We start from the raw sequence: 20,387 nt of genomic DNA, 5'->3' as shown, positions 1-20,387 counted from the left end.
TGCCCAGATTTTCCAATTTTTAAGAGAGGACGTAAATCGATATTTTAATGTAAAATGTACCAATTTTTAAGTATGTCTGTGGCTAAAAGTGTCTTTTTTTTTTTTGACACAGAGCCTCACTCTGTTGCTTAGGCTGGAGTGCAGTGGTACAAGCACGGTGCACTGCAGCCTCAGCCTCCTGAGCTCAAGCAATCCTCCTGCCTCGGCCTCCCAGGTAGTTGGGACTACAGGCATGCACCACCACATCTGGCTAATTTTTAAATTTTTTGTAGAGATGGGGGTGGGTCTCACTATGTTGCCAGGCCTGGTCCTGAACTCCTGGGCTCAAGGGATCCTCTCGCCTCAGCCTCCCAAAGTGCTTGGATTACAGGCATGAGCCACCACACCCAGCCCCAAAAGTGTCTTTTTTGTTTTTGATTTTTTTTTTTTTTTTTTTTTTTACTTTTTTTCCACACTTGGTAATCAGGAAGTAAAAGGTGTCTTTTTGACTGTCGACTTTTTGACTGCCATAGCCTTAGTCTAAATGAATAGACAACACTGACAAAATGGAAAGGGTCAAAGGGGAGGCCTATTTTGGCCAGAAAGAGTGAAGGGGAAGAAAAGACAGGGAAGAGGCCCAGGATGGACGGTGAGAAGTGAATTTCACCAACCTTGAAACCTCATATAGGGAGCCCCAATCTGCTTGTCTTCTAATCTAAGAGTAAAAAGGAAGAGATGTCAAGAAGGAAATAAAGGAGGAAGAAAAAGAATCACCTGTTGAGCACTTACTGGATGGCAGACACTGCATGGGATGCTTTCACATGTTGTTTTATTGAGATATGTCAATGCAAAAAGAAAGAGTTCTATGCATGGGAAAAAGACTTAAAGGAAATACATCAAAATCCTAACAGTAAGAGTGTCAGATTACAAGAGCCCCTTTTTCCATTCTCCATAATTTTTAACCATAAATATAACATGGTGTATTAACATTATAATACAAATTAAACTAAAATTTAAGGTGGATTTCTGGGTACAAATCCACCCACCCTGGAGTATAGAAAGTAAACTACTATAAATTAAGCCAAACTATACACTGAATATTTAAATAATAAAGGAAAATGTAGCCATTTCAAATGTATATAATATGTAACTATGCAATTATAAACCCAGAAAGAGAACATGAAAGAAACTACACAGGTGATATGGACCGCAGATTGATTAAATAAGAACAGAAATATGTGAAATTGTTAAGAATGTTATAAATCATTTTCTCTCCAAATTATAAACTACCAAGATGTTCTGTGTGTGTGTGGCCTACATAACTATAAAATAACAGTCCTCTCTTCTATAAAAACGTTTAGACTTTTACCTGTCTGTTACATACTTTTCCACATTCACTGCATTATTTTCTTTCTTTTAGGTGTGCACAACTCTCATATTTAAATAATCCCCCTTTTTTTTGTCTTTTAGGGTATTTCAAAGATAACAGGTATTTTTTTTAATAAATGAAGTATGTCATTATAGGCCGCTCAGATTCTAAGCAATCTGAATCCCCAATTAATGTCTTCCAAATATGCATATTTAGTTTTTATTCTGCTCAAAAATGAAACCCTAACCTAAATACTTCAAGTGAAATTTCAGGGGAAAAAGACTGTTCAAAAACCTAGATAATGCATTCCTTTGTTGATGCTAAATATAGTCATCTCAAGATGACATACATTTTGACAATGATCAGCCTTACATGTCAAATTTTCAAAAATAGCACAAATTCCATTTTAAGGTGAGCAGGAACAATTGCTATTCATTACATTTCAATTGAAAATGGATTTTAAAATATGAATCTTTTATTAAAACTGGATTACATTGTAACTATGATGAGGAAAACTGGATTTAAAATAATTTTGTTGTGGTTTTAGCTTAGAATTCTTTAAGGGAATTGCAGATAAACTACATAATTGCATGCATTTTTCTTTAAATTGTTCCTCAGAAGCATTAGTCAAAATATAAAATATCTGCAAAAATACGGTGTTAATTGTAAGGAAGAAGAAACTTAAACAGCTACATTGGTTAATCAAAGTTTACTTATACAAATTATACCTCCCCCCAAAAAACCTTTCTCTCATTTGATTAATTATGCATTTTTTCTTAACAATACCCCAAACTCAAAAGAATTTGAGACAAAGTTTTCTAACTGCAGCAGTTTAACCTGTAAAGGATAATGTTTAGCGGGGGAAATTATGTGGTCCACTCAATAACGTGTGACTAAGATATAAATAACGTGTGACTAAGATATGAACTTAAGTATAAATACTTAAGTTTATTTAATCACATTACCTAAGACATAGTTATGTTGTGACTCGAAGGCCAATGGGCCGCTGCTACATGAATTCATTAACAAAATTTAACGATGAATGATATTCCCGTTGTTTTGGTCAGGGAACTAATTTCTTTATTATGGCTTCTTTTCTCTACCTGTGTCTTCACCAAGGACATTTTGTTAGGACATATCCTTATGCTATTTTTACCTTGTTATCTCTCTGCCAACTTGGTTCACGTTGTGCTTTAATAACTATAAAATGAGCATCTCTAAGTCACTGCAGTAACCAACTATAACCTCTCAACTTCGTCATTTTCTTTATAAATGCCAATGCTAATGCATTTGTAGAACGTTTCACAATTTACAAACAGCTGGAATGGTTTGGCGTTTTCAAAAGCATATAGGCAAAGGGAGTTCTCAAGAGGTGACTACATTCTTCACTCACTTAAACTACGTAAACTTCGTAAACTTCCAGCCCTAGTTGCTCAACCCCCAGCATCCCACCTCGGGCAGAATCACGAAAAAAAAAAAAAAAAGGGTTGGAGACAGGAGTGGGGGGATATGCGGGGGTGTGGGGGGGGAGTAATAGGCTGTTAAATCATATTTCTCCCCATCTTCCACAGAGACCGATCAGAAAGGATTTCTTAACTGGCACTGCTGGCAGAGACGGAGACCGCGGCTGGGGCAAGTGGTGGGGGACGGCACTGAACTTCCCTAAGGACCCCAAGGGTTCAGCCGAGGGATCGGCACCCACTCCGCTCACAGAGGGCTCCCTCCCTACAGTAGGGAACGCACCCGAAACTCAGCCGACAAGGCGCAGGGGAGCAGGGCAAAGACATTGCAACCAGAAGCCCAAGGCCGGCCGACACTTTCAGACCCTGGGGCAGCCCCTGGTAGGCACCCCGCCGAGCCCGCAGGATGCGGCTCCAAGGCAGGGTTCGCCCGGGCCGGGGCCAGCGCGGACCACAGCTGTATGGCGCCCGGCGCCCTCCGGAGCTGCAGCGGAGCACGGCCAGAAGCCGCAGACCCCGAGCGCCTCTCTGCAGCCGCCGTTCCCGCCCCCGCCCCCACCAGGGGACCCGACACCTCCGTCTCCACTCCCCCCAGCCCACGTTCCCCCAACTCTTCTCACCCTGCAGGAGCCGGTGACCGGCGAAGGTACTTCTTTCCGCGTGGAGGGACTGTGCGCGTCCCGCCTGGCTGTGGGTAGGGGTCTGGGAGCTCTGGCCGCTAACACTTCTGCTCCAGCCGCTGGGAGTCCTCTGGCTGCCGCTGCCGCCGCCGCCGCCGCCGTCTCCAGCAGCAAGTTTCCATAAAAGTCCTGGTGTGCAGCCTGTTCCCGCATTCCAGGCGGGCCCAGCGCCGGCTGCAGCTGTTCCAAAACACAAGGCCAGTTCCCCCAACCCCCCACCTCCGCCGTTATCACCCGGAGTGGGGGTGGAGAGTTGAGGAGAAAAGCAGGGGAGGGGGACCGTGGCTGCCAACTTTCCGCCAGAATTTGTCTGTCTCCCGGCCCTAGGTGCGCGAGCTGACCCCCTAACTTTGGGCCTGCCTCCACCTCCAGCCAGGCCTGGGGAAGGAAGGCTGCCTCCGCCATGGGAAAGGAATGAGGCTGAAATGGGCTTCATTACCGGGCTGAAGCTGGCTCCCCCTACCCGCAACCAGTTTGCTCTGGGGCCCACTTCTCTCAGCTACTCTACCCGTCCTAGTTTCCAGTCAAGAAGCCAAGCCACTACATATCTTCTACTACCCTAAGCATTGACCTTTGGCCAAGTTTTCCTTTATTACAAAGAGCGTGGGGCAGCAATCCGGGAACACTTCATCTGTCTATTGCTCCCCTGTTCTTAGCTCCAGTCTTTAACTCTAAAAGGAGAGTTAAAAAAGAAGAAGAAGAAGAAGAAGAAGAAGAAGAAGAAGAAGAAGAAGAAGAAGAAGAAGAAGAAGAAGAAGAAGAAGAAGAAGAAGAAGAAGAAGAAGAAAGTTGAAGGCAGAGGAGGAGGAGGAGAAGAAAAGAAGGAATATATTTATATAAGTACAAATATCTTTATATTCCACCTTTTTCTTAATTGAAGGCAAACCATATCTGGTCTTTCTAAAGCTTCATAAAGGCATCTTTGACTATTAGACACCCACAGACCTTTTTCAACTTGGACCGCCAGCCTGTCAAACCCATCAGACAATACCATATTAAAACCCGAAATGCACACTCGGAGTATTTTTGGTGGACGAGATCTTTAATTCTTCACTGCACTTGAAAAAAAAATCGAAATGACATCCAGATAAAGAATAAAGGTAACCACTTCCACCTTCAGGCCCTAAGCAGACAGCGGTGCTCAGGTTATATTTCAGGGATGTTGAAAAGGCCTTCTGGGCTGGGCGCGGTGGCTCATGCCTGTGATCCCCGCACTTTGGGAGGCCGAGGCGGGTGGATCACTTGAGGTCAGGAATTCAAGACCAGCCTGACCAACATGGCAAAAGGCCGTCTTTACTAAAAATACAAAAAATTAGCCTAGTGTGGAGGCACACACCTGTAATCTGAGTTACTCAGGAGGCTGAGGCAGGAGAATCACTTGAAGCCAGGAGGCGGAGGTTGCAGTGAGCAGAGATCATCCCACTGCACTCCAGTCTGGGTGACAAAATGAGACTCTGTCTCCAAAAAAAAAAAAAAAGGCCGGGCGCGGTGGCTCCTGCCTGTAATCCCAGCACTTTGGGAGGCCAAGGCGGGTGGATCACCTGAGGTCAGGAGTTTGCGACCAGCCTGGCCAACATGGTGAAACTCTATCTCTACTAAAAATGCAAAAAATTAGCCGGGCGTGGTGACGTGCGCCTGTGATCCCAGCTACCTGGGAGGCTGAGGTTGAAGAACCCACTTCGCTTGAACCCGGGAGGCTGAGGTTGCTGTGAGCTGAGATGGCGCCATTGCACTCCAGCGTGAGCAACAAGAGTGAAACTCCCTCTCTCTCTCTGTTTCTCTCTCTCTCACACCCGTACACACAAAAGGCCTTCTACTCAAATATAACTCTGTTCCCCAGTCCCATCCCCACAGTATTTACTCAGGATGGAAACTTTTCTAAGGAGGGTAAGCCATTCATTCCTCGATTACAGAAAAGTTCAAAATTGGTAATTAAAATTATTTAAATGTACCGAACTACGGATAGTGATAGGTGGTCTTGGTAGTCTTGCTTGTGCCCTTGCTCTCTTTGATGCCATCACCTTGGCCTTCTTCAGTTCATGAAACTTTCTATGGGCAGTCTGGCTGCAGGGCCTTTGTATAAGTTGTTCCCTGCATGAAATCCTTTCTCCCACTTTCCCCTTCACCTAACTTCAACATATCCTCCCGATCTCTTCTTAAATGCTGCTTCCTCGGAGAAGGCTTCCTTGCATCCCACCTTTCTCCCCACCTTGCACCTCACCTTTCATCCCACCTTTCTCTTCCCTATATATATATATTCCTATTTATTTGCTTATTTATTTATTTATTTATTTATTTATTTATTTATTTATTTGGAGATGTAGTCTCGCTCCGTCGCCCAGGCTGGAGTGCAGTGGCACGATCTCAGCTCACTGCAACCTCCGCTTCCCCAGTTCAATCGATTCTCCTGACTCAAAAGTAGCTGGGATTACAGGCGCGTGCCACCACACCTGGCTACTTTTTGTATTTTTAGTGGAGATGGGGTTTCACCATGTTGGCCAGGCTGGTCTTGAACTCCTGCCCTCAAGTGATCCACCCACCTCGGCCTCGCAAAGTGCTGGGATTACAGGTGTGAGCCACTGTGCCCTGCCCCTATACATATCAATTTATAATTACATATTTATTTCTGTGATTTAAAGAAGTGAGTTGGCTGAGCATGGTGTCTCACGCCTGTAATCCCAGCACTTTGGGAGGCTGAAGCGGGTGGATCACTTGAGGTCAGGAGTTCGAGACCAGCCTGGCCAACATGGCGAAATCCTGTCTCTACTAAAAATATAAAAATTAGCTGAGTGTGGTAGCGTGCACCTGTAGTCCCAGCTACTCGGGAGGCTGAGGCAGGAGAATTGCTTGAAACCAGGAGGTGGAGGTTGCAGTGAGCCGAGATCATGCCACTGCACTCCAGTCTGGGCGACAGAGTGAGACTCTGTCTCAAAAAATAATAAATAAATAAATAACTAGAAACTTAACAATTTTTTATTTTTATATCCACCCAATAGATTCACCAGATTAAACAAAGCTCTCCATTCTCTCTGTAGAACACTGATAGCTACTCACAGCATGCAAGGCCTGCTTATTTTCCCACCAATTCATCATTCATTCATTCAACAGATATTCAGTTCTATATGCTAAGGATACAGCAGTGATAAAGGAAAAATCCCTGCCATTATGGAACATACATTCTAGTGAAAGAAGGCAGACAATAAGCAAATAAGTGAACTATGTAGTATTTAGTGACATGTAATATGGCAATATGGATAATACCAGAGCAGGGAAGTAGAGAATGCTGGAGGCAGGCTGAGTAGATGTTGTAATTTTAGATAGAGTGGCTAAGGAAAGCCTCATATGAGTAAAAGCCTTGAGGAGAGTGAGGCAGTAGGCTATGTAAATATCTGGAGAAGCAAATATTTGGAGGAAGAGTGGTCCAGGGATAGATACAAAGGCCCAGAGAAGGATTCTATCTGACATGTTCTAGGAAGAACCAGGAGGCTTGTGCGAGTGAAGCTGAGTAGGTGAAGGGTGAGGTAATAGGAGGTGCAGTGGGGAGCAGGAGACAAGACTACGTAGGATTTTGTTTGTTTGAGAATAAGTCTCGCTCTGTCGCCCAGGCTGGAGTGCAGTAGCATAAACTCTGCTCACTGCAACCTCCGCCTCCTGGGTTCAAGCGATTCTCTTCCCTCAGACTCCCGAGTAGCTGGGATTACAGGCACCTGTCACCATGCCCGGCTAATTTCTGTATTTTTAGTAGAGATGGGGTTTCACCATATTGGCCAGGCTGGTCTCAAACTCCTGACCTCAGGTGATCCGTCTACCTCGGCCTCCTAAAGTGTTGGGATTACAGGCGTAAACCAACATGCCTGGCCTTTTTTTTTTTTTTTAGAGACCCAGGCTGGAGTGCAGTGGTGGAATCACAGCTCACCGCAGCCTCTAACTTCTGGGCTCAAGCGATCCTCCTGCCACAGCTTCTCTGAGTAGCTGGGACTACAGGCATGCAACAACACACCTGGCTAATTTTTTAGTTTTTGTAGAAATGGGGTCTTATTATGTTGCCTGGGTTGGTCTCAAACTCCTGGGCTTAAGCATCCTCCCACTTCGGCCTCCCAGAGAGTAGGGATAATAGGCATGAGCCATTGTGCCCAGCCTCTTTTTGTACAGCATTGTAAAGATTTTGGTTTTTACTCTAACATGGGTGGTCTCTGGTAGGTTTTGAACAACATAGTGACATGATCTGACATGTTTACTCTCTCTAGCTTAAGTGCTGCACATACACCAAATGAGGCAAGAGAAGAAGCAGGGAGATCAATTAATTAGGAGGCTTCCACAATAATCGGAATGAGGAATGGGGATTTGGGCCAAAGTGATAGTTGTGAAGGTAGTGAGAAATACCTGGCATATTTTTTTTTCCTTGTTGCCTTTTTAGGTAGAAATGGTAGGATTTTTTTTTTTTTTTTTTTTGTAACTGAATGTGAGGTGTGAGGAAAGGAGGTTTTGGGCCTTTGATCTGGAAGAATGGAGTTGTAATTTACTCAGATAGGGAAGGTTGTGGGAAGAGGAGGTTTAGGCAGGGGTGGTAAGGAGCTCAGTTTTGACATGCTAAGTTTGAGATTACTAAAAATCCAAGATCTGCCCATTTGTATAAGCATTACTTGTATACTTATCACGAGTGATTAGGTTTGTTCTATGTCAGTTGCACGGTTTTGAAATTATACAAAGTAAACATTTAAAAAATGAAATTATAGGCCAGACATGGTGGCTCACACCTGTAAGCCCAGTGCTGTGGGAGGCCAAGGTAGGCAGATCACCTGAGGTCAGGAGTTCGAGACCAGCCTGGCCATGATGGCGAAACCCCGTCTACTAAAAATACAAAAATTAGCCGGGCATGGTGGTACGTGCCTGTAATCCCAGCTACTCAGGAGGCTGAGGCAGGAGAATCGCTTGAACCCAGGAGGCGGAGGCTGCAGTGAGCCCAGATCGTGCCAAAAAAAAAAATAAAGAAAGAAATTATAAAAGCAAAAATAAAGTTATAGTTTTTTATAAAAGCTGAGTTGAATGCTTTGAAAAGACTTGATAAAGGCAAATAGCTTACAAAAATTACCACCAAGCTAGGTGTGGAGAAGACAAATGTAAAAGATTGGGTACAAAATTGTACAAATCTAGGGAGATTCTGCAGTCAGTGCTTTTTAATGTACCTTTTCTCTCCTTTAAAAGTAAGGAAAACTCGAAATTCCAGATGATGATTTAGGGCAGGGGCCCCCAAACCCCAGGCTGCACAGCAGGAGGTGAGGACTGGCGAGTGAGCATTACCACCTGAGCTCTGCCTCCTGTCAGATCAACGATGGCATTAGATTCTCATAGGAGCGCAAACCCTATTATGAACTGTGCATGTAAGGGATCTAGGTTGTGCACTCCTTAGGAGAATCTAATCCCTGATGATCTGTGATGGACCAGTTTCATCCCAAAACTATCCACCACAGCCACCCCCGAACCGTCCATGGAAAAATTGTCTTCCCCAAAACTGGCCCCTGGTGCCAAAAAGGTTGGAGACCACTGATTTAGCGGTTTAGTTTATGTAACAAAGATATCTTGAAATATCGAGTGAATCCATACTCCCAACTAAAGGCCTTGATACTATATCAAAAGATTGGCCAAAGAAAGTACATTCATTCATTTAACATTAAAATGTCAACCAGGCATGGTAGCTCAAGCCTGTAATCCCAGAACTTTGGGAGGCTGAGGTGGGAGGATCACTTGAGGACAGGAGTTCAAGACCAGCCTGGGAAACATACCAAGACTTCCTCTCTACTAAACAATAAAAATAATCCAGGTGTGGTGGCATGTGGCTGTAGCCCCAGCTACTCAGGAGGCTGAGGCAGAAGAATCACTTGAGCCCAGGAGTTAGAAGTTGCAGTGAGAACCACTGCACTCCAGCCTGGGTAAGGGAGAGAGAAAAACCTTATCTCCTAAAAAAAAAAAAAAAAAAAAAAAAAAAGTAATTTGTCTACATCATTATGTATAATTTATTATGATTCCCTGCCATGGTATCCAGCCACCAAGACAACCCCAAATGTTCCACCTCTTGGTACTCGCATCCTGTGTAATCCCCTCCCACATTGTGTCAGTGTTGGTCTGTGTTACCAATGGCAGAAGTGGCAACACTTCCACATCTAGGTTATAAAAGACATTGTGTCTTTTACCTTGCTATTTCTTGGATTATTTATCTGGGAGGAAGCCAGCTGCCACGTCTTTTTTTTTTTTTTTTTTCTGTAGAGACAGGGTCTCATTTTGTGGCCAGGCTGGTTTCACACTTACAGGCTCAAACAAACATTCCTCCTGCCTCAGCCTCCCAAAGCGCTGGGATTACAGGCATGAGCCACCATGCTCATGCCTTAAAAGACATGCTGGCCAGCTGTCATGTCTTAAAAGACACTCAGGCAGCTGAGAGGTCTAGTTGGTAGGAACTAAGGTCTCTTGCCAATGGCAAGGGACTGAGGCCTCCTGAAAACAGACATGTGAATGAGAAAACCTTAGAAGTGAGTCTTCCAGCCCCAATCAGGCCTTCAGATGACTGCAACTTCAGGAGAGAACCACCAGACTAAGCCATTCCTGAATTCCCAGCCCTCAGAAACTGTGTAAGATCATGTTTGTTGTTTCGAGCTGCTAAAATTTTAGGATAATTTGTTGTAACAGATTGTGAATATAATTGCTTTAACATTTATTATCCATCTTCATCTTCTACCACATTATTTTATTGGTCCTTTGTAAAACTCCTGGGGCCATTCTTTTTCTTTCTTTTTTTTTTTAAAGATGGATTCTCGCTCTGTTGCCCAGGCTGGAGTGCAATGGCGTGATCTCAGCTCACTGCAACCTCTGCCTCCCAGGTTCAAGCAATTCTCCTGCCTCAGCCTCCCGAGTAGCTGGGACTACAGGCACGCAATGCCACGCCCGGCTCATTTTTTGTATTTTAGTGGAGGTGGGGTTTCACTGTGTTGCCCAGGCTGGTCGCGAACTTCTGAGCTCAGGCAATCCACCCGCCTCAGCCTCCCAAAGTGCTGGGATTACACGCCGTGAGCCACCGCACCTGGCCCCTGGGACCATTCTCACACAGAGTTATTATTAAATAAGAATTAGCAAAGTTCAGAAAGTCATATATTTCAAGTGCTTTCTAATTCAAAGTGCTTCTCTATATTCAAGTACTATGGTATCATTTCAAACATAGCAAATTATAAAAGTTCTGTAATTTCCTAAATATAAATGTACTTTGTGAAAGGCTTCTGTGACACACATAAAAGACATATTTGATGTACCAGTTGCTTTGCTGTGGCTTTTAAGTAAAGAATAAAAAGTGTCATAGAAGGAAGGCTGTTTTTCTTCTCTGTAGTAGAATACAGTCCTTCCCTGCCCAGATGATGGTTACTGTAGAGTTTTCACTGTTCAGATATAGAAAAAGCCAAAGAAAGAACCTTAGCAGACAGAAGAGTTTGTGTAGCCTGATCAAAGATGTCAGTAGCGTAAGAAGAGAAAGAGATCAAGGGAGAAGAAGTGGCAGGATAAAGTATCAGAGAATACAGGGCATAGGAAGAAACACTGCAGAAAAAACCAGAAGTCAAAAGCAGCATAAGAACAGTTAGTTTAGAAAGATTAACAAAGTGATTTATAAAGATTTCCAGCAAAGCCCTATAAAGTCTAACAATAGGGCACTAAGATGTTTGCAGAGAAGCATTTTAAATATACATAAGAATTCAGAGACAGATGTTTAAAGTGCAAAACATTAAGTTCAGATCCTGAACATTAAGTTCAGGATCAAAGAAGATGCATGAGACAACAGAGTATGGCAGATAATGACAAAACAGAAAATGAGAATGAGATGCTGCTCTAGTTTCCCATTGCACTCCAACCCTGTATCCTAGCTAAGGAAAGATTCTATTCATGTTTATATGGTTTTCTTATCAATATATTTCACTTTATATGTTTAATAATTCTAAAAATATAACTATATTTATCTATATCATATATAATTATTCTAAAATAAACCCATTTGTTAAAAGTCTCAAACTAAGAATCTGTTTTCATATCCAGGTGACTTCCATCTGGTGACTATGGTGGTATCCAGGTGGCACCCCTCTCCTTGACTAAATATATCTGAACCCTTTTGTTTTTTGGTTTTGAGACTGAGTCTCACTCTGTTGCCCAGGCTGGAGTGCAGTGGCGTGATCTCAGCTCACTACAACCTCCACCTCCTGGGTTCAAGCAATTCTCCTGCCTCAGCCTTCCAAGAACCTGGGATTACAGGTGTGCGCCACCATGCCTGGCTAATTTTTGTATTTTTAATAGGGACAGGGTTTCGCCATGTTGGCCAGGCTGGTCTCAAACTCCTGACCTCAAGTGATCTGCCTTGCTCGGCCTCCCAACATGCTGGGATTACAGGCATGAGCCACTGCACCCGGCCATATATCTGAAGCCTTTTGAAGAATTGATGAGAAGAGAGGTTCAGGTCATATATGAATAGTAATGATGCATATACATCAATATATCAATATAAGTTTATATTATGCTTGATGGCATTATCATCCAAACACTTAAATTAAAATACAAGTATTTTCACTTTATTCATCACAAAACTGTCTTTTTCCCCATATCAGTACATGGAGAAACAATAAATTTTTAATCTTTGTTTTCATTTTTTATTTTTTTGAGACAGAGTTTCGCTCTTGTTGCCCAGGCTGGAGTGCAATGGTGCACTCTTGGCTCACTGCGACCTCTGCCTCCCAGGTTCAAGCGATTCTCCTGCCTCAGCCTCCCAAGTAGCTGGGATTACAGGTGCCCACCACCATGCCCAGATAATTTTTGTATTTTTAGTAGAGACGGGGTTTCACCATGTTGGCCAGGCTGGTCTCGAACTCCTGACCTCAGATGATCCACCCGCCTCGGCCTCCTAAAGTGCTGGGATTACAGGCATGAGCCACCGCACCCGGCCTTTTATTTTTTATTTTAATGATAAAGTTTTATATTTGATTATAATGCTTCTGCAGTTGTCCTGTTCTCTATGCCATATATATGGGTCTTATGGAGACTGAATATTCTCATACAGGATCTGATGAGACAAGTGTGACTTCATAATTATATATTAACATTGTTTAAAATATTCAATACATCAGCAAGACGTACCATCACTTTTTTATTTGGCAGTAATAGTAATACATCCATGTTACAGTGCTTATTTTGGCTAAAGAGCCAGTGCAATTTTTTCTGCTACTGTAGTGTTTTACTTTTACACAAATTAATGAGTACAGTCCTTACATTTAGGAGACAGAAACATTTACTGACATCAGCTAAGTAAAGCTAATACATGGTTGTTCACAAACTAAACAAAACAATAACATAATATACTCATTAGGAACAAAGTAGGGATGTTCTTATTTCCACTAATCACAGATTATATAAATTCTTAAATTTCACATACATATTTCTAAATCTAAGCAAAAAAATTAGAATTCAGCTTAATTCCTATAATCATTTTGAAATTTACATCAAATAATTTCTGAATATATATTCACATTAAAATAAAAGTAAATGGGTTATATAAACATAATTTAAAATTTCTGATTATGAAAAGTTATAGAGAAGTACATTAAATGTTACTTTGGCATTCCTATTTCCTAGGCTTACAGGAATTATTAAGAATTCCTTTGTAATGCAAATAATCACTCTCTTGGAAATTAAATTTAAGTAGAAAATGTTACATTTTAAGGCAAGAAAACATTTGTAAATATTTTTATAAAGGCATTTAATTCAACAAATTAACGGAATCATAGTAAATGGATGCAAATAAAGAATATTACTTTATGAGAAAGACAAAGTTCTTTGGAGCTTACTGTGACAGTATGGAAAACTTGTCTTCTTTTTTAAAAGATAATTCCATTTTGATACTTAATAAACATAATGTTAACCTTCAAGAAGAAATAAGCACTCTTAGTTGAACAAAAATGTAGGGAAATTAAAATACAAAAAATGAAATTAAAAGAAATACCAAATGTAAATTGCCTCAAAATTTATCTTCTTTCTTCTAGAAAAAAGGATATTTTCTCAGGAGTGACTTAATTGAAGTCCCTCTTATAATTTACATATGGAAGTGGATGGTAGAGCTCATGGTGGCAAGGGCAATTCCATGATTAAGTGTTTAAACAGGGTTTACCCTAAAAGGCTCTAAACTAATCATTTTTAAAGACATTGCTTTTGCTATTTAACCCAATTTTAAGGCAAATGGAAACCGTTACATATGTCTTTTTTTTTTTTTTTTTTTTTTTTTTTGAGACAGAGTTTTACTCTTGTTGCCCAGGCTGGAGTGCAATGGCACGATCTCGGCTAACTGCAACCTCCGCCTCCCGGGTTCAAGCGATTCTCCTGCCTCAGCCTCTCGAGTAGCTGGGATTACAGGCATGCGCCACCATGCCTGGCTAATTTTTGTATTTTTAGTAGAGATGGGGTTTCACCATGTTGGTCAGGCTGGTCTCAAACTCCTGACCTCAGGTTATCTGCCCACTTGGGCCTCCCAAAGTGCTGGGATTACAGGCGTGAGCCACTGCTCCTGGCCTGTTATATATGTCTTAAGTACCCTTCTGCATGCAGTCAGAAATGTTCTTTTCAAGAGGACATTTCCTTTAAAAAGTTCAAGTTTCTTATCTTACGATAAAGAGATATTTCCTATACTTATTGTCCTAAAATTCTATTTGGTCACTCTTACCTCTTTTGTGAAAGGCCACATCTTGCTAAAGTAGCAGCTACTGAACTGACCAGAAACAAACTCAAACACTGAATTTGACAAACCAACCTGCTGAATATAAGCAACTTTTTCTAAGATGAAATGTAAAAAAGAAAAAGAAAAAACAAAAAGCAACACCTTCTAGAAAGCCATTCATCTTATCTCATAAAATTAATTCCCCAGAGTTATCTCATGTAGTAGCAGCATTATCAAATAGTGCAATTCTTCAAAATTGATTTCAAATAATATCTTTCTAAAATAAATTACATTTACTTACAGCTTTGCTTATAAAACCACAGCTTAAAACACTTAGCCCTCAAATGGGTAAATTACTATAAGCAATAACTGTCTTGTCTACATGGTAATGAAATGCACGTGCACGCACACATGTGTGTGTGAAGGCCAAAGATACCGCAACAAGGTAAAAACATGTAATATTAAATAAAAAGTAAACAGTACATAATGGAATTTTTAGTTTTGGTACTTCTAATCATATTCCCGTCAATAATAAGAACTATAAATAGGTAATTGTTAAATTAAGCATCTATGTAAGAAAAGGCAAGGAGCTATATACTAAAGAACAGTGATAATTTGTATGTTTCATGCTATATAACCTATAAAGTACATGCAAAACAGCATGATCCTGAATTCCATATTTTATAGTTAATTTACATAAATGTGGCACATACAGAAAATTACAAATCTTAAAAGATTATGCTTTTCCCGCCCACTTTTTTCATCTTCTATTTATTAATCAGAAACTAGGCACTTTAATCTAAAAATTCGCTTTTTAAAAATGCATTTTAGGAGTAAGACATGGTGACACATGCCTCTGGTATGAGGAGTTGGAGACTGCAGTGAGCTATGTATGATAGCACACTGCACTCCAGCCTGGGCAATAGAGCGAGACCCCATCTCTTAAAAGAAGGCAAAAAACAATGCATTTTAGGTCCTTTTGTGCAACTCACTCCTAAAATGACTAAAGCCCGTTTTAGGGGCAAAATCAACAAATCTCATCTACTTACATACTGAGTTAGTCACTCCAAATAAGTGGTATATTATTTAGAAACAAAATTAATACAACTCTGAAAGCATTTAATATACTCTTATAGAAGAACTCCACCCATAAAAACAATTCATTTGTTTGTAGATTTATCATAATGAACATGAAATATATACTTCCACATCATTAAAAAATATTTTTGTTTTACATTCCAGGGAGGAAAAAACTCTTCTTTAAAATGTCAATAAGATTCAAACTATGAATATTTTTAAAACATGGGCATAATATGACAAATTCCCACTGGGCTGAGTTTTCTGTGGGAATAACTAAAAGGAAGGAGAAAGGAGAAATTATTTCACTGTACCAAGTTTCATACCTTCAGATGTTGACAGTCTTCAAATAACACTAAATTTTAAATTGCCTTTATTAATTAATAAATGTTATCTTTTTAATCAATACTCATTCCAGGGGAAAATGCTCTAATGTATAAAAAGAAAGTTCTTCAGTCTCTTTGTAACTTACAGGACCAACAGTAACATATTTTGGAAACTACAGTTAATATAAATTTGTAAATTGTAAATTTCTCAATGTCAATTCATTTAAATGCTGTATTTGTTTTATTTATTCACTTCTGAGATAGGGTCTTGCTGTCGCCCAGGCTGGAGTGCAGTGATGCAATCACAGCTCATGACAGCCTTGACCTTCTGGACTCAAGTGATCCTCCCACCTCAGCCTCCCAAGTAGCTGGGACCACAGACACATGCCACCACACCCAACTAATTAATTTAATTTAATTAATTTATTTTTTGAGACAGAGTCTCACTTTGTTGCCCAGGCTGGAGTGCAGTGGTGCGATCTCGGCTCACTGCAGCCTCCACTTCCTGGGTTCAAGCAATACTCCTGTGTCAGCCTCCCGAGTAGCTGGGACTACAGGCGCCCGCCACCACACCTGGCTAATTTTTGTATTTTTAGTAGAGACGGGGTTTCACCATATTGGGGAGGCTGGTCTCGAACACCTGACCTCAGGTGATCCGCCCACCTTGGCCTCCCAAAGTGCTAGGATTACAGGCATGAACCACCACACCCAGCCTATTTTTATTTTTTAAAAAAATTTTAATATTTCCATGGAACTCTGCTTGATACCAGCTAATTTATTTTTATGTTTTTGTAGAGACAGGCATCTCCTTATGTTGTCCAGGCTAGTCTCAACCTCCTGGCCTCAAACTGTCCTCCTGCCTCAGCCTCCCAATGTATTACAGGCATGAGCCACTGCAAGTGGCCCATTTAAATGTTCTATAACAATATTCAGTGATTACAATTTCTTTGATTCAAATACATAAGCAAATGCACAAGCAATAATGTATGCAGTACATATTAAACATCATTACTGCCTAAACTTGATTAAACAAATGAATAACTTTATAATTAAAAATATGTTTCTAGGCAAAGTTAAATATATTGACATTAGAAGTAATATATTCTTGCATGTGTGGGCCACAAAGACCTTGGCTAAAGTGTACATTTTAAAGGTGCAAAGCATAAAAACAGAGCTTTTGAGAATGACAGCTTCAAGAAGACAAACCAATTAACTCCCAAATATTGGCTTCAATTCAAGCGATATTTCTGTAAAATATACATTTCATGACTTCAATTATTACCTAATGAATGCAAAAAGCCACTATGACTACACTACACAGGAATTCAATGACAGAACTTCTGTATAAATACAGTACAGTTGCTCATTTTTTAGTAGATTTTTTTTTCCTCCCTGAATCCACATGCATCAATTCTGTTAACTTTGTAATATATGTTACAAAATCAATAGTTACCTTAAAATATTTCATAGCACACTCAAATTGTATGATTCTTATGGTACTTATTGTACTTTGGCTTCCAGTAGCCCAGTGGACATAACATGACCATGACTGCTTAGACAACTACTTGTATGCCTCAGGGCATCTGCTTCAAGATAGGCCATTAAAAGCTCAGTGCGGCGAATGAGTAACTGCATGAGGTCTTCAGCTAAAGTCTCTGTACTTGAATAGCGCACCTTCTCAAAGTCAAAAATGTCTTTGAGAAATAAAAGAACTTGATTCTGGAAAATGAACATAAATTGGCATTTATTAGACCAAAATTAAGTTACATTGAGAAAGCTTCTAATATTATAATGAGCACTGAATCAGGACTCAGAAGACCTGACTTCCAGTGCTAGTTTCATATCTCATTAGAAAAGGGACCTTGCACAAGTGATTTAACCTTTCCTTTTTGGGGGCTCATTTTCTTTTTCTGTGAAATAGGGCTAATACCACCCACCCTACTTACTACTCAGGGATGACATGATGATCAAAAAAGATAACCTATGTGATACCATGAAAAGGTGGGGAAACATTTAAAAAAAGATAATCTATAAGAAGTGCCTGTAAACTCTAAAGCACTGTTTAAATGTAAGGGGTTATAGTCCTTTCCCTTCAATGTGACCTTTGAGCATTGCCTCTACTCTAAGACAGAAGAATAAACTATTTCCAGTAATAGTTTTAAATAAATAATAATAAAATAATACGTTATAATTTTAAATGTGCTTTTTTTTTTTGTACAAGAAAAACCCTTAAGGCACATGAAAAATAAAGAACATTTCAGGTCTCAAATCAGTGGTAGATCCTGAAGGATATTTCATTTCAGTAAGTTATTATATACACTGAAACTCACTGTAAGCAAACTGTATACGAATAAGTATTAAGTCTCAGCTATTATGTCACCATAATAGAAAAAAAGTAATTTCAAAGAGCGAAAAACAGGAATATTTAATTTCTATCTTCTTTCTTAATAACGTATCTTCCAAACGTTATTAAGAAGTACTAAGAAGACACACTTCATTGATTCACTGGATTTTATATCTGAAAGGGTCATTAGCGATCAACCTGTTAGGCTCCCTCGTTTTATAGATAAAAGGAACATCAAAGAATGATTTGCCCCAAGTCAGAATGCTCACTGATGACAGACTTAATTCCCAACCCCTAAAACACATACCTTACATTTGGGTGGTCAAGTAAACTACAAAAATCAACGTGTTCTGAATGACAGTAAAATACACATTTTCTAAACCATTTATAAAAATATTACCTTGACAGCACATAAACATAATTTTAAAAAATGAATGGTATAGTAAAACATCCAAACTTTCAAATTCATACTCAATTATGTTTACTTTTATTTGCTCCTTGAAATGCAGCCTAAACTCAAGACTATTACATAGCGAGACTTTCCTTGTCACTTTGCCAGCCAGAAAATTCTATAAGGAGCTATAACTTGTATTTTGGCAAACTAAAACTGCTGACATTGGGAGATAACATTAAACCCCCATTTTATTTCTCACAACTTGGATTTTATCATTCATCTCACCTTTAACCACAACTTATTCTATATTACCACATGTGCAATAAAGGTGGATATTGTTTGTAAGTTTCAAAAGTGCCCAGGTATGAAAAACCAACTATCTACATTGATTTGACTGTCACATGGCAACACCATGCAAGACCATGTATCCCTTGCATTAGGGAATTGATAAGGTGAATGGATATGCTGAGTCTACTCCAGAATAAAGCACCAAATCTATAAAATACTGGTCCATTATAATAATAGTGGTATTATAAAATGCCAAAAATATTTAACACTGACATTTAAATGCTGAATTTAGGTGACTTTTATAACTTTACTCTTAAATAACATTTGTTCTTCTACAAAAGCAAAACAAAACAGAATAAAACCGTATCTCCTTTTTGATTTAGAAAAAAAAGAGAAATGATTCAATGACTGAACATACCTTAAAAAAGCAACATAAATCATACAGAGAATTTCTAGGACCCAAAAAGCCCCAGGCTAGGACAGGACTGATGTGTTCACAAATGGCATAAAAATGGGCAAAAAATCCATCTGGGATCTGCTGGGAAGTAAAGGAGAATCAAGTTACTTCTACCTTCTTGTTACTTGCTTTCTCTAGTACAGAAACTGAAGTTGCTATTCATTATATGACCAGTGGGAGTTTAAGAAAATTTGTTTTTTAGAACCAGAGTCTAGCAACACCTCAAACTCCTGGCCTCAAGCAATCCCCCGGCTTTAGCATCCTAAGCAGTGGGGACTACAGGCAGGCACTATAGTGCAGGGCTCATGACTAGCTCTTTTTGAGGGCAAACCAAGAGTCAGTCATGAGCCATGCTATTAAGAAAGTTAATAAGGTTACAAGTAACCTTTAGAGTCATAGAATGTTTTATGTAGATTTCATATCCTAGCCAACAGTTTCATATGTGCTGAGACACATTTCTGTATTTGTTGTTTGTTTTTTTGAGACAGGGTCTCACTCTGTAGCCCAGGGTGAAGTGCACTGGTGCAGTCATGGCTCACTGCAGCCTCAACTTCCCAAGCTTGAGTGATCCTCCCACCTCAAAATTCCAGGTAGCTGGAACCACACGTGCACGCCACCCCTCCTGGCTAATTTTTTCTATTTTTAGTAGAAACAGGTCTCACTATGTTGCTCAGGCTGGTCTTGAACTCCTGGGCTCAAGCAATCCTCCCTACTTTGCCTCCCAAAGTGCTGGGATTACAGGCGTGAGCTGCCACACCCCGCCCTTAAAAGTTGTTTTTACCTCATAAAAATGCTTCATAAAAAAGCAATCCAGCCAGGCATGGTGGCTCATGCCTATAATCCCAACACTTTTGGGAGGCCAAGGCAGGTGGATCACTTGACCCTTAGGAGTTCGAGACCAGCCTGGGCAACATGGTGAAACCTTGTCTCTACAAAAAATACAAAAGTTAGCCAGGCATGGTGGTGTGTACCTATAGTCCTAGCTACTCAGGAGACTGAGGTGGGAGGATCATTTGAGCCCAGGAATTGGATGGTGCAGTGAGCCAAGATAATGCCACTGTACTCCAGCCTGGGTGACAAAGTAAGACTCTGTCTCAAAAAAAAAAGGGCAATCATATTAGCTTTGCAACGAAGCAACAACAAGAATGCTACAGTGTTCCTTAGTTGTATAAGTTTTATGGGATTATTAAGACTATCAAAGTTTTAGCTATTTAAAAGCCCAACTCAATCACTTAATTATATTAACTGACCAAAAAAAAACTAGTAAAATGATTAAGCTAA

General features: G+C 40.3%; 2 protein-coding genes and 1 long non-coding RNA gene across 22 annotated transcripts in view, besides 2 other annotated features; 1 reads left to right on the top strand and 2 right to left on the bottom strand.

Moving 5' to 3' along the window:
* Positions 1–3,564, bottom strand: part of NEXN (nexilin F-actin binding protein) — a 55,272-nt gene extending 51,708 nt beyond the window's left edge. For all 7 annotated transcript variants that reach the window (NM_144573.4, XM_005271322.5, XM_005271325.5 and 4 more), the window contains exon 1: positions 3,429–3,564. The gene's annotated coding sequence lies outside the window, so the exon portion shown is untranslated. The remainder of the gene's footprint in view (positions 1–3,428) is intronic.
* On the top strand, positions 2,649–10,840 carry NEXN-AS1 (NEXN antisense RNA 1). Its single transcript, NR_103535.1, has 3 exons — positions 2,649–2,720; positions 2,920–4,588; positions 10,290–10,840. It is a non-coding gene; the product is annotated as an NEXN antisense RNA 1 (long non-coding RNA).
* Positions 3,180–3,319: a silencer, noted in NCBI's record as "silent region_1005". NCBI's record gives its function as "represses an Ori minimal core promoter by ATAC-STARR-seq in GM12878 lymphoblastoid cells {active_cell/tissue: GM12878}" and the evidence as "EXISTENCE:reporter gene assay evidence [ECO:0000049][PMID:35858748]".
* Positions 3,560–3,619: an enhancer, noted in NCBI's record as "active region_1222". NCBI's record gives its function as "activates an Ori minimal core promoter by ATAC-STARR-seq in GM12878 lymphoblastoid cells {active_cell/tissue: GM12878}" and the evidence as "EXISTENCE:reporter gene assay evidence [ECO:0000049][PMID:35858748]".
* A 1,807-nt stretch (positions 10,841–12,647) lies between the features above and the next one.
* The window catches only part of MIGA1 (mitoguardin 1), a 99,892-nt gene continuing 92,152 nt past the window's right edge, over positions 12,648–20,387 (bottom strand). For 8 of the 14 annotated variants that reach the window (NM_198549.4, NM_001416120.1, NM_001394566.1 and 5 more), the window contains exons 15-16: positions 19,068–19,184; positions 12,648–17,342 (exon numbers count right to left, since the gene is read on the bottom strand). In NM_198549.4, coding sequence (NP_940951.1) covers positions 17,124–17,342; positions 19,068–19,184 — 336 coding nt within the window. In that variant the 3' untranslated portion in view covers positions 12,648–17,123. Of the gene's footprint in view, positions 17,343–19,067; positions 19,188–20,387 lie in introns of all 14 variants that reach the window. The other 6 variants (NM_001270384.2, NM_001394570.1, NM_001394572.1 and 3 more) reach the window with 1 other exon arrangement.

This window comes from Homo sapiens, chromosome 1 (assembly GCF_000001405.40).
Source record: "Homo sapiens chromosome 1, GRCh38.p14 Primary Assembly".
Taxonomy (NCBI): Eukaryota; Metazoa; Chordata; class Mammalia; order Primates; family Hominidae; genus Homo; species Homo sapiens.
Note: the sequence above shows the minus strand (reverse complement) of the source record. Positions and strands in the feature narration are given on the sequence as shown.